Genomic DNA, 13571 nt, shown 5'->3' with positions numbered 1-13571 from the left:
CAAAATCCATTGTTTAAAAGGAAAAGGTGGGCCGGGCATGGTGGCTCATGCCTGTAATCCCAACACTATGGGAGGCTGAGGCAGGTGGATCACCTGAGGTCAGGAGTTCGAGACCAGCCTGGCCAACATGGCGAAACCCCATCTCTACTAAAAAATACAAAAATTAGCTGGACGAGGTGGCAGGCGCCTGTAATTCCAGCTACTCAGGAGGCTGAGGCAGGAGAATCGCTTGAACCCGGGAGGTGGAGGTTGCAGTAAGCCAAGATTGCGCCATTGCACTCCAGCCTGGGAAACAGAGCAAGACTCCATCTCAAAAAAAAAAAGAAAAAGAAAAAGAAAAAAAAAAAGAAAACATGGGCCAGGTGCGGTGGCTCACGCTTGTAATCCCAGCACTTTGGGAGGCCGAGGCGGGTGGATCACTTGAGCTGAGTTCAAGAGCTCAGGAGTTCAAGACCAGCCTGGCTAAGATAGTGAAACCCCGTCTCTACTAAAAATACAAAAATTAGCTGGGCATGGTGGCGGGAGCCTGTAATCCCAGCTACTTGGGAGGCTGAGGCAGAGAACTGCTTGAACTTGGGAGGCGAAGGTTGCAGTGAGCTGAGATCACGCCACTGCACTTTAGCCTGGGTGACAGAGTGAGACTCCATCTCAAAATAAATAAATAAATAAATAAAAGATGGCCAGGCACGGTGGCTCACGCCTGTAATCCAAGCGGTTTGGGAGGCCCAGGCAGGTGGATCACTTGACGTCAGGAGTTCAAGATCAGCCTGGTCAATATGGTGAAATCCCATCTCTACTAAAAATACAAAAATTAGCTGGGTGTGGTGGCATGCACCTGTAGTCCTAGCTCCTCTGGAGGCTGAGGCCAGAGAATTGCTTGAACCCAAGAGGCGGAGGTTGCAATGAGTGGGGATCATGCCACTGCACTCCAGCCTGGGCAACAAAGCAAGAGTCTGTCTCAAGGAAAAAAAAAAGAAAAAAAAAAAAGGACGACCAGCATTTTGATCTAGGCTGGCATTGGTCCACATGCTCCTTCTCTCAGGAGAAGGGGATAATTGTGATGTTTCTGATTCACTGAATTTATTGAGGGTCTCCTCTGTGCAAAGTGGTCTCACTCCTTATTTATACCTAATCAAAGGACCATTTGAGCACCCCCTAAATGATGCTCACCTTAACCCCATGAAGTAGCCATTTCTTGAGTGCTGCAGTGAAATCGAGGCCTGGAAAAGTTACACCTTTGCTCAGGGTGACATCTAAGAAGTGGGGGGATGTAATGTGAACCCAAGCTTCTCTGTCCCCAAGGCCCCTCTCGGCAGCATAGGGAGAGGATCATCATGTTGGCAGCCTGTGCCCACACCGCATGGCTTCCTACTCTGCTCCTAGAAAAGGGGCCCTCACAGCTGGCCCCTGGCCAGGAAGCCTGCTCCCAATAGCAGCAGATGCCCCAGGAATGGCGACCTCCTTGGCAGGGTACCGGAGGTTAAGGGCAGAATGGTTTCTGCTAGCAAGGCAGCCCTGGGGCAGGTGCCAGATGGACCTGAGAGCATGCCAACTGCTCTGGAGTGATTTCCTCCTGATTGCCTCCTGCATGGCAAGGACCTGCCCTCTCTACCTTAATAAAATTGGATCCCCATCCTACAAAACTAGACATAGAGAGAGACGCTGTCATCCAAGGGGAGACTGAATCTTGGATTCTAGAAAAGAAGAGTTGGGACTGCAAAGTCAATTCCCTTTATGCACCCCCGACTCCAACTTTCCCTCCCCACACTGCGCCCTCCATCCCCCACCCTTCATAACCTAAGGACAGACAGTTGATTTTTGTTAACAGAGTAAGTGGTTCCAGTAACCACCTTTCAACACAGCCCGGAGGAAAAAGGGAACTTCTCTGCCTGGCATCTTTCCCACTGTGGTGCCCCAGGGGAAGCTGTCCCTTGAGACACTGTGGAGAGCCCCAGGCTGCCCACCTGCAGAGCACTCCAGAGGCCTCTGGACTCCCCCAGCTGCTGAGGTTGGGTAGAGCCTTTGCTATCCCCTCTCCTGCAAGCCCAGAGGAGGCAGCTCAGAGCAGAAGGGAACCTCTGTCCTTTCAGAGCTTGGCCCCAGGTTAGGGCAAAGGGGATCCAAGTCTCTCCTTTCAGAGCAGGGCTCACCTGGGCCAAGCACTCTGGGGCCCTCTGGGACAACCCTTGCCATTTGCCCTCCCCTACAGGAGGGACTCACAGTGGCTGCCGAGCTCTTGCCTGTCCCATCTATCCAACAGCATGGGACCTGGCAATTATGGCAAGCTAGGAAGTTATTAAAAGGTAAAGTCTATTTTTAGGAAATCAACAGCAAACTGAGGACAAGGTAGGAGAAAACAATATCTGCCTTCTGGGACTTTGCAGCTTCTGATGCATGTGATTGAGCCTCAAGATGTAAGCAGCCCACCCCAGTGAAGTGGGGGAAGAGGCAGCCCTCCACCCACCAGGCATCCCCGGAGCAGAGCCTGCTGGGAGGTGACCTCTGGGAGAAGAAGAAGTGCCAAGGGAAGTCTGCAGTGGCCCAAGGGAAGGGGGCACAGAAGGAAAGCATCTAAAAATGGAAGTCTTAGAACATAAATTATTCAAAAACAGGATTATTTAACTGGAAGTTAAAAATGAGAGAATCATTACACACCCTTGCCCAAATGTTAATGCCCTGGAGAGAAGGCGTATTACTTTCCTCGGGTCACCATAACAAACTATCACAAGCTGGGTGGCTTAAAACACCAGACAGGTATTTTCTCACAGTTTGGAAGCCAGAAATCTGAAATCGAAGTGTTGGCAGGACTGGTTCCTTCTGGAGCCTCCAAGGAAGAATCCATTCCACGCCCTCTCCCAGCAATAGCTGGAGTTCCTTGGCTTGTCGACGCGTCGCTCCCATCTCTGCCTTCATCTTTTTTTTTTTTTTTTTTTTTTTGAGACCGAGTCTTACTCTGTCACCCAGGTTGGAGTGAAGTGGCATGATCTCGGCTCGCCACAACCTCCACCTCCCAGGTTCAAGTGATTCTCCTGCCTCAGCCTCCCAAGTAGTTGGGATTACAGGTGCACACCACCACACCCAGCTAATTTTTGTATTTTTAGTAGAGATGGGGTTTTGCCATGTTGGCCAGGCTGGTTTCAAACTCCTGGCTTCAAGGGATCCACCCACCTTGGCCTCCCAAAGTGCTGGGGTTATAGGTGTGAGTTGCCATGTCTGGCCTCTGCCTTCATCTTCATGTCACCTTTCCCTATGCGTCTCTGTGTCTCAAATCTCCCTCTCCTTTCTCTTATAAGGATGCCAGTCATTAGATGTAGTAGGTACTCTGAATCTAGAATGATCTCCTCTGGGGATCCTCAACTTAATGACATCTGCAAAGACCCTATTTCCAAATAAGGTTAAGTTCACAAGTACCGATGGTTAGGACTTGGACATATTTTTCTGGGGGACACGACTTCACCCACTACAGAAGGGTAACCGACTCACCCTATAAAGATAACAGGAAAATTCATCTAAATTCCAGCAAGGGCAGCTTAAGTTGGATGGCAGCTACGTCTTTCTGATGGCAAACACTGAGGATGGGAGAATCTATTCCTTGAATGCAGGTGAGGGACAAATGACCTCCAGAATCAACCTGATAACTCCCATACTAAGTTCACGTAGAAAAGCAAAGGGGCTGGACTCAATGGCTCTTGCATGTGATTCTTGCAATTTGAGAAGCCGAGGCAGAAGGATGACTTGAGCTCAGGAGTTCGAGATCAGCCTGGGCAACATAGTGAGAACCCATTTCTTAAAAAAAAAAAAAAAAAAAAAAAAAAAAAAATATATATATATATATATATATATATATATATATATATATATATAATTAGCTGTGCATGGTGGTGCACACCTGGCACACCTGCAGTCTCAGCAACTTGGGATACTGAGGTGGGATAATTGCTTGAGCCTGGGAGGTTGATATGGTTTGGATTTCTGTCCCCACCCAAATCTCCTGTAGAACTATAATCCCCAGTGTTGAGGGAGGGGCCTGGTGTGAGGTGACTGGGTCATGGGGGTGGACTTCCTCCTGGCTGTTGTTGTGCCAGTGAGTTTTCATGAGATCTGGTTGTTTAAAAGTATGTAGCCCCTCCCCCCTCTCTTCCTCCTGCTCCAGATATGGAACTTCAACTTCCACCATGATTGTAAGTTTCCTGAGGCCTTCCCAGCCATGCCTTCTGTACAGCCTGCAGAACCGTGAGCCAATTAAACCTGTTTTCTTTATAAATTACACAGTTGCAGGTATTTCTTTATAGCAGTGTGAGAATGGACTAATACAGAGATCGAGGCTACAGCGAGCTGTGATTGCACCAGTGCACTCCAGCCTGGACAATAAGCAAGACCCTATCTCAAAAAAAAAAAAAAAGAAAGAGAAAAGAAAAGGGGATTGCAGCAGTCACTGAGGGCTAGAGGAAAATGTCATTGAATGACTACAAGCAGCAAAACTCCCCAATAATAAGGGCCACTGAAAAGACGACAATGGTAAAGGCACAAATGACAGTGGACTAAAGTCTCTCCTGTGCACACAACTTTCCACTCTCCAGGCTCCTCTTAGCAACCTGAGGCAGCATTAAGTGTTGTTGTTGTTGAGACGGAGTCTTGCTCTGTCATCCAGGCTGGAGTGCAGTGGCGTATTTTCAGCTCACTGCAACCTCCACCTCCCAGGTTCAAGCGATTCTCCTGCCTCAGCCTCTCGAGTAGCTGGGATTACAGGCATGCGCCACCACACCCGGCTAATTTTTGTATTTTTAGTAGAGACGGGGTTTCACCATGTTGGCCAGGCTGGTCTCAAACTCCTGACCTCTGGTGATCCACCTGCCTTGGCCTCCCAAATTGCTGGGATTATAGGCATGAGCCACCGCACCTGGTCTAAGTGGTTTTGATGTAAAAAAATGTATATACATATATATATACCTGTTCTACTGCAGGAATTCTAGTGCTGAAGAAAAAAAAAAGGACTCTTAGTTCAAAATGAATTTATATATTTAACTGTGACTTTCTAGGCTTCCTGTTAGATGTTTTCTTCTGAGGTCAAAGGCAACAAGAGCTAAATGAATCTCATTCTTACTAGAGTTTATTTGCTGTTATATTTTTTGGCAAAACCACTTTCAAAACAGTAATATCTGGAAAGGTTTTCAATTTTCCCTGAATTGAGTTCTCAGTGCCTTTCAAAGAGGAAATGACAGATAAGGACAGTGTATGAACTCAGGGATTTAAATAGGAACATCAGATACCTCCATGCCACCCCAGAGAAGAATTGAGGAGGGGTGTCAGGAGAGCGCAGCAGAGCCTCATTTGAAAGGCTGCATTGAAGTTCAAATTGCATTTTAATTTACTATGCCAGTTCAATTCCTCTTCCGTCCCAGCCCTGGGGGTTAGCCACACAAAAAGGAGGCACACTTCACAGTAACTCCCTCACAATACAGAAAATCCGATTGCAAGAGCGGGTCGCCCTCTGCAGGGCACGAAAGGATGTGAGCCTGGTCTCCGAGCCCTGAGGTTTCTTTCATGCAAGACTTCAAAAACAGCACAGTGATTCCTACACACTTCAAGAGACCATTTCCGCCTGGAATTTGTTAATTTGGTAAGCCATGAAGGATTAGAAGGCCAGAGGGCCATGGCTAAAACTTTTGCCTAGGCATTTGGAATTCATCTGAAGCTACTAGCTAAGGGTTGGTGGTGTTTGGTTGACTAGGGACATAGAAACAGTGGTGAGCATGGGTCCTGCAGGGACTCCACCTGGGTGAGAATCAGAGCATTTTCTTTTCTTTTTTTTTTTTCAGACAGCGTTTTGCTCTGTTGCCCGGGCTGGAGTGCAATGGCGCGATCTCAGCTCACTGCAACCTCTGCCTCCCAGGTTCAAGTGATTCTCCTGCCTCAGCCTCCCTAGTAGCTGGGATTACAGGCATGTGCCACCATGCCCAGCTGATTTTGTATTTTTTGTACAGACTGGGTTTCTCCATGTTGGTCAGGCTGGTCTCGAACTCCCAACCTCAGGTGATCCGCCCACCTTGGCCTCCCAAAGTGCTGGGAGTACAGGCGTGAGCCACTGCACCCAGCCGAATGAGAGCATTTTCCTTCCTTCCTTTCTTTTTCTGTCTTCCTTCCTTCTTCCTTCTCTCCCTCTCTCCCTCCCTTCCTTCCTTCCTGTCTTCCTTTTCTTTCTTTTCCTTCCTTCTCTCCTTCCCTCCCTCCCTTCCCTTCCTCCCTTCTTTTTTTTTGAGATGGAGTTTTGCTCTGTCGCCCAGGCTGGAGTGCACTGGCACAATCTCGGCTCACTGCAACCTCCGCCTCCCAGGTTCAAGCCATTCTCCTGCCTCAGCCTCCCGAGTAGCTGGGATTACAGGCGCGCACCACCATGCCCAACTAATTTTTGTATTTTTTTTAGTAGAGACAGGGTTTCACCATGTTGGCCAGGCTGGTCTCGAACTCCTGACCTCACGATCCACCCACCTCGGCCTTCCAAAGTGCTGGGATGGATCTTGTTCTGCTGCCCAGGCTGGAGTGCAGTGGCACAATCATAACTCACTGTAACCTTGAACTCCTAGGCTCAAGCAATCCTCCCATCTCAACCTCCTGGGTAGCTGGGACTACAGGTGCATGCCACCATGCCCAGCTAATTTTTATTTTATTTTTTGTAGAGATGGGGGTCTTGCTATGTTGCTCAGGCTGGTCTTGAACTCCTGGCCTCAAGCAATCCTCCCGCTTTTGCCTCCCAAAGTTCTGGGATTACAGATGTGAGCCACCACACCAGGCCCAGAATATTTCTTGACTAACAGACACCCTGGAAGCCATCATGGCCAAACCTTTATTTTCAGATGAGGATATTTGGTCCAGAGTGTCTATGACTTGCCTGCAGATGCCCACATGGGACCAGAATCTAGGTTTCTCTGTTGTCATCCTTCCTCAGACCCTGACAGGGCAAGCAACAAACTGGAGGAAAGAGGAAACCTTGGGAGAGAAAACCTGCCCAGGGGTCGGGCATCCTGGAGCTTGGCCTGGCCTTGTTTGACATAGGACTTTGCTAGGAGCTGAAAGCCCAGCTCGAATGTCTCATAAGAAAGTTGTGTTGTTTTATCCGGGCAAATCCTGGCTTGTTCCGGGTGTGCAGACTGTGCACAGCCAGTGTTGCTGAAGCTCTGTGTGATGCTGTGTTGGATTGGAGGTTCTGGGAGGGCACAGCTCTGTGGCTTTTGCTCTCTGGTGTATTCCTTTCCTCTACCCTACAGTAGGAGCTGGGGATTTGCAGAATTTATCCCAATAAGGAGGCATGCTTTAAACATTTTTCATACAGTTGGGGTGATTTTTACACTGATCTTTCTTGCCTGCTCCTCCTTATAACAAATAATTTAGTAGACAACTGGCCAAAGTTATAGGTGCTAGGTGAAGCTGTCTGGGAATGACACTGGGTACCTACTGAGTGAGCCAATACTGACAATGCTAGCATTTCTTGTGGTCCGCAGTCTTCATTAAAAGTAAAATTTTGCTGGGGTGTAGTGGCTCACGCTTGTAATCCCAGCACTTCAGGAGACTGAGGCAGGTGGATTCCTTAAGGCCGGGAGTTCAAGACCAGCCTGGGCAACATGATGAAACCTTGTCTCCACAAAAAATACAAAAATTAACTGGCATGATGGTGCACACCTGTAGTCCCAGCTTCTTGGGAGGCTGATGTGGGAAGATCGCTTGAGCCTGGGAGGCAGAGGTTGCAGTGAGCCAAGATCACACCACTGCACTCCAGCTTGGGCAACAAAGCAAGACTTTGTCTCACAAAAAATAAAAAAAATAAAAAATAAAATTTTGCCCAGCACAGCGGCTCACACCTGTCATTTCAGGACTTCGGGAGGACCATGTGGGCAAATTGCTTGAGCTCAGGGGTTACCAACCCGGGCAACATGGCAAAACTCTTTTTTTTCCGAGATGGAGTCTTGCTCTGTCGCTCAGGCTGGAGTGCAATGGCGTGATCTCAGCTCACTGCAACTTCCGCCTCCCGGGTTTAAGTGATGCTCCTGTCTCAGCCTCTGAAGTAGCTGGGATTACAGGCGTGCACCACCACCCCCAGCCAATTCTTTGTATTTTTAGTAGAAACGAAGTTTCACCATGTTGGCCAGGCTGGTCTCGAACTCCTGACCTCCTGATCTGCCCACCTCGGCCTCCCAAAGTGCTTGGATTACAGGCATGAGCCACTGCGCCAGGCCTGGCAAAACCCTGTTTCTACAAAAAATTCAAAAATTAGCCGGGTGTGATGGTGTGTGCCTGTAGCCACAGGCTGAGGTGGGAGGATCACTTGAGCCTGGGAGGTCTCAGGCTGCAGTGAAGTTGCAGTGAGCCAAGGGTCACACCACTGTGCACCAGCCTAGGACAACAGAGTGAGACCCTTTCTCAAAAAAAAAAAAAAAGGTAAAATTTTGGTGAAACTATTCTATGTGCCACTATAATGGTGGACACATGCCATATAGATTCGTCAAAATCCATAGAATCAAGAGTGAACCCTCGTGTGAACTAGGGACTTGGGGAGATGGTGATGTGTTAATGTGGGTTCATCAGTTGTAACAAACCCACTCTATGGAGGACGTTGATAGTCGGGGGGTTATGGGTGGGGGAGGAGGAATAGGGGATATGTGGGCACTCTATGCTTTCTGCTCAATTTTGCTGTGAACCTACACATGCTCTAAAAAATAATGTCTCTTTAAAAAAAAATTTTTTTTTGAGACAGGTTCTCTCTCTGTTGCCCAGGCTGGAGTGCAGTGGCATAAACTCAGCTCACTGCAGTCTTGACCTCCTGAGCTCAAGCAAACCTTCCACCTCAGCCTCCCAAGTAGCTGGAACAACAGGCAGTGTGTGCCTGGCTAATTTTTGTATTGTTTTATAGAGATGGGGTCCCACTATGTTGCCCAGGCTGGTCTGGAACTCCTGGGCTCAAATGATCTGCCCACCTCAGCCTCCCAAAGTGTGAGATTACAGGTGTGAGCCACCGTGCCGGGTTTCTTGTTTCTGCTTCTGACATGACATCATCACGTCTCCTTCTGTGACTCTGACCCTCCTGCTTCCCTCTTACAAGAGCCCCATGATGACACTGGGCCCACCCAGATAATCGAGGACAATCCCCTTCTCAAAATCATTAACTTCATCACAGCCATATAAGGTAACAGGCTCTGTGTATTAGGACATGGGCATCTTTGGGCACTCATGATTCTTTCCACCACACCCACCAAACAATTAAGTGCTAAATTATGTGAAAACTTTTTTTTTATTTTTTGGAGATAGGGTCACTCTGTTGCCCAGGCTGGAGTGCAGGGGCACACTCTCGGCTCACTGCAACCTCCGCCCTCCTGGGTTCAAGCAATTCTTGTACCTCAGCCCCCCGAGTAGCTGGGATTACAGGCGCCCACCACCACGCACGCTAATTTTTTTTTCGTAGAGATGGGGTTTCACCATGTTGTCCAGGCTGGTCTTGAATTCCTGAGCTCAAGCGATCCACCTGCCCTGGCCTCCCAAAGTGCTGGAATTACAGGCGTCAGACACCCAGCCCATGGAGACAGTTTTACTCAAAGAGATAAACTTGACCCATTCCAAACCGCAGCAGTCCCTTTTCAATTCTGAGTGCCTCAGAAGTCTTCAGACTCAGCTAACTCTTGCCACTCCCCACAACAGTGCTTCTCAGGGAGCCAGGGAGACAGTTTTGCTCCCAGGAGATACTTCACAACACCTGGGGTGGTTCCGGTTGTCATAACTTCAGGAGGGAGAGCTCCTGATATCTACTGGACAGAGGCTGGGAGCACTGCTCAACATCCTGCAATACACAGGACAGCCCCCCACGACGCCATACACAACCACAAAAAATGATGAACTCTGAATGTCAAAGGGGCTGGGCTGAGAAACCCTTCTGAGAATAGAGAGAGGATTGTCCAGGGAGCGCTGTAGCTCACACCTGCAATCCCAGCATTGTGGGAGACCGAGGCATGAGGATGGCTTGAGGAGTTCAAGACCAGCCTGGGCAACAAAGCAAGATCCCACCTCTACAAAAAAGAAAAAAAAATTAGCCAGACATGGTGGCACATACTACTAGTCCCAGCTACTTGAGAGGCTGAGGCAGGAAGATCGTTTGAGCCTAGGAGTTGGTGGCTGCAGTGAGTTATAATTGCACCACTGCACTTCAGCCTGGGCAGCAGTGCAAGACCCCATCTCCTAAAAAGAATCCCGGCTGGACGTGGTGGCTCACTCCTGTAATCCCAGCACTTTGGGAGTCTGCAGTGGAGGGATCACCTGAGGTCGGGAGTTCAAGACCAGCCTGACCAACATGGAAAAACTCCATCTGTACTAAAAATACAAAATTAGCTGGTCATGGTGGCAAATGCCTGTACCCCCAGCTACTCAGGAGGCTGAGGCAGGAGAATCGCTTGAACCTGGGAGGCGAAGGTTGTGGTGAACCGAGATGGCATCATTGCACTCCAGCCTGGACAAGAGTGATACTCTGTCTCAAAAAAAAAAAAAAAAAAAAAAAAAAGAATCCTAGCACTTTGGGAGGCCAAAGCAGGTGGATCACCTGAGGTCAGGAGTTTGAGAGCAGCCTAACCAATATGATGAAACCCCATCTCTACTAAAAAGACAAAAATTAGCCAGGCGTGGTAGTGTGCGTCTATAGTCCCAGCTATGTGGGAGGCTGAGGCAGGAGAATGGCTTGAACCTGGGAGGTGGAGGTTGCAATGAGCTGAGATCGCACCACTGCACTCCAGCCTGGCGACAAAGCTAGACTCCATGTCAAAAAAAATAAAAAAGAAAAAAAGAAACAAAGAAAGAAAGAAAAAGAGCAAGGCTCCAGGAACTAGGAAGGCCCGCAGCTGCTGCAGAATTGAAAACATGTGCCTTCAGATCAACCAGCAGCCTAAAAACCAGTGACAGGGACTCCGAGAGTGCATCTCTCTGACCCTGAAGACACACTGACTGTGTAACTCCCACCTCCCCCTTCTTAGACAGCATAGAGCGGCACTGACACTGAAGTCCCCTGCTTGGCACACACCCTGCTCCATTGATCACTTCTCCCCCACCACCTGGGACTGCTGGTTTATTTGCCCAGTGCTGGCACTTGAAGATACTTTATTGCCTTGAAATGTTTTTAACCTTGTTTTTCTTTGCATGAAATGAAATTAATTCTGAAGCTCCCCCAAGGTCATTTTTCATCTCTTCACTCCCGGCAACTCTGGTAAAGAGAGCTCTGAGGCCTTTCTTTGGCAGGCTCTGTCACTTTACCATTTTCAAACAGAAGTGTTAATTAATGCTTGCAGGCTCCACTGAGTTTAAATTGGCTTTACCGGCCAGGCGCCTTGGCTCCTGCCTGTAATCCCAACACTTTGGGAGGCCGAGGCGGGCGGATCACAAGGTCAGGAGTTTGAGATCAGCCTGGTCAACATGGTGAAACCCTGTATCTATTAAAAATATAAAAATTAGCCAGGTGTGGTGGCGGATGCCTGTAATCCCAGCTACTCGGGAGGCTGAGGCAGGAGAATCCCTTGAACCCGGGAGGCAGAGGTTGCAGTGAGCTGAGATCGCGCCACTGCACTCCAGCCTGGGCAACAGAGCGAGAATCTGTCTCAAAAAAAAAAAAAAAAAAAATTGGCTTTACTGTGAATACCTTGCAGTTTCCAACACAGAGAGACAAGTGGTAAAAAAAAAAAATCTGCACAGGACAGCGGGGTGTGGTGGCTCACACCTGTAATCCCAGCACTTTGGGAGGCCGAGGCAGGAGAATGGCTTGAACCTATGAGTTCAAGACCAGCCTGGGCAACATCGTGAGAGACCTTGTCCGTACAAAAAACAAACAAAATTAACCAGGCATGGTGGTCCACACCTGTGATCCCAGCTACTCAGGAGGCTGAGGTAGAAGGATCACTTGAGCGCCCGGAAATCAAGGCTGCAGTGAGATCATGCCACTGTACTCCAGCCTGGGCAACAGAGCAGGACCCTGTACCCAAAGAGGGGAGAAAAAAAAGATAGTTAACGAAAAACCAAACTCTGTAAAATGTTTTAAAGAGGTTTATTCTGAGCCAATAGGAGTGCCTGTGGCCTGGGGTAACAGTCTCAAAAAGGCTTAAGAAAGCGCACCAGAAGTGGTTGGGCTACATACAGTTGGTTTTTTTGTTTGTTTGTTTTCTGAGACAGAGTCTCGTTCTGTCACCCAGGCTAGAGTGCAGTGACACGATCCCGGCTCACTGAAACTTTTACCTCCTGGGTTCAAGTGATTCTCCTGCCTCAGCCTCCCGAGTAGCTGGGATTATAGGCACGTGCCACCACACCCAGCTGATATTTTATATTTTTGGAAGAGATGGGGTTTCACCATGTTAGCCAGGTTGGTCTAGAACTACTGACCTCAAGTGATCCACCTGCCTCGGCCTCCCAAAATTCTGGGATTACAGGCGTGAGCCACTGTCCCCGGCCTACAGTTTGATTTTATACATGGAAGATACACATTGGTTTAGTCCAAAAAGGTGGGATACCTTGAAGTAGGGGCTTACAAATCATAAGCAGATTCAGAGTTTTTTTTTTTGGTTTTTTTTTTTTTTTTTGAGGCAGAGTCTGTCACCCAGCCTGGAGTGCAGTGTCACAATCATAGCTCACTACAGCCTTGATTTCCCACGCTCAAGCAATCCTCCTGTCTCAGCCTCCCAAGTAGCTGAGACTATAGGAGCACGTCACCACACCCAGCTAATTTTTAAATTTTTTGCAGAAATGGGGTCTTGCCATGTTGTCCTGGCTGGTCTCCGACTCTTCAGCTCAAGCGATTTTCCTACCTTGGCCTCCTAAAGTACTGGGATTATAGGTGTGAGCCACCTTGTCCAGCTTCAAAGATTCTTTTTTTTTTTTTTTAAGACAGAGTCTCACTCTGTCGCCCAGGCTGGAGTGCAGTGACACGATCTCAACTCACTGCAACCTCCATCTCCTGGGTTCAAGTGATTCTTCTGCCTCAGACTCCCTAGTAACTGGGACCATAGGCACACACCACCACGCCTGGCTAATTTTTGTATTTTTAGTAGAGATGGGGTTTCACCCTGTTGACCAGGCTGGTCTCAAACTCCTGACCTCAAGTGATCTGCCTACCTCTGCCTCCCAAAGTGCTGGGATTACAGGCATGAGCCACCACACCTGGCCTACTCAGAGATTCTTTAATCTGCAATTGGTTAAAGGAACATAACTTTGTCTAAAAACTTGGAGTTAGCAAAGGCCAGGCACGGTGGCTCACACCTGTAATCCCAGCACTTTAAGGGAGGCCGAGGAGAGCGGATCACTTGAGGTCAGGAGTTCGAGACCAGCCTGGTCAAAACGGTGGAAGCTTGTCTCTACTCAAAATACAAAAATTAACTGGGGCGTGGTGGCAAACACCTGTAGTCCCAGCTACTTAGGAGGCTAAGGTGAAAGGATCACTTGAACCTGGGAGATGGAGGTTGCAGTGAACTAAAATCACACTACTGCACTCCAGCCTGGGTGACAGGGCAAGACTCCATCTCAATAAAAATAAATAATAAATAAATAAATAAAACTTG

At 48.5% G+C, this 13571-nt stretch overlaps 1 annotated feature.

The window, feature by feature from the left end:
* Positions 9619 to 9819: a silencer, noted in NCBI's record as "peak3011 fragment used in MPRA reporter construct". NCBI's record gives its function as "represses an SCP1 promoter by STARR-seq MPRAs in K562 erythroleukemia cells {active_cell/tissue: K562}" and the evidence as "EXISTENCE:reporter gene assay evidence [ECO:0000049][PMID:32103011]".

This window comes from Homo sapiens, chromosome 17, assembly GCF_000001405.40.
Source record: "Homo sapiens chromosome 17, GRCh38.p14 Primary Assembly".
Taxonomy (NCBI): domain Eukaryota; kingdom Metazoa; phylum Chordata; class Mammalia; order Primates; family Hominidae; genus Homo; species Homo sapiens.
This window is presented reverse-complemented; position numbering and strand designations above follow the sequence as displayed.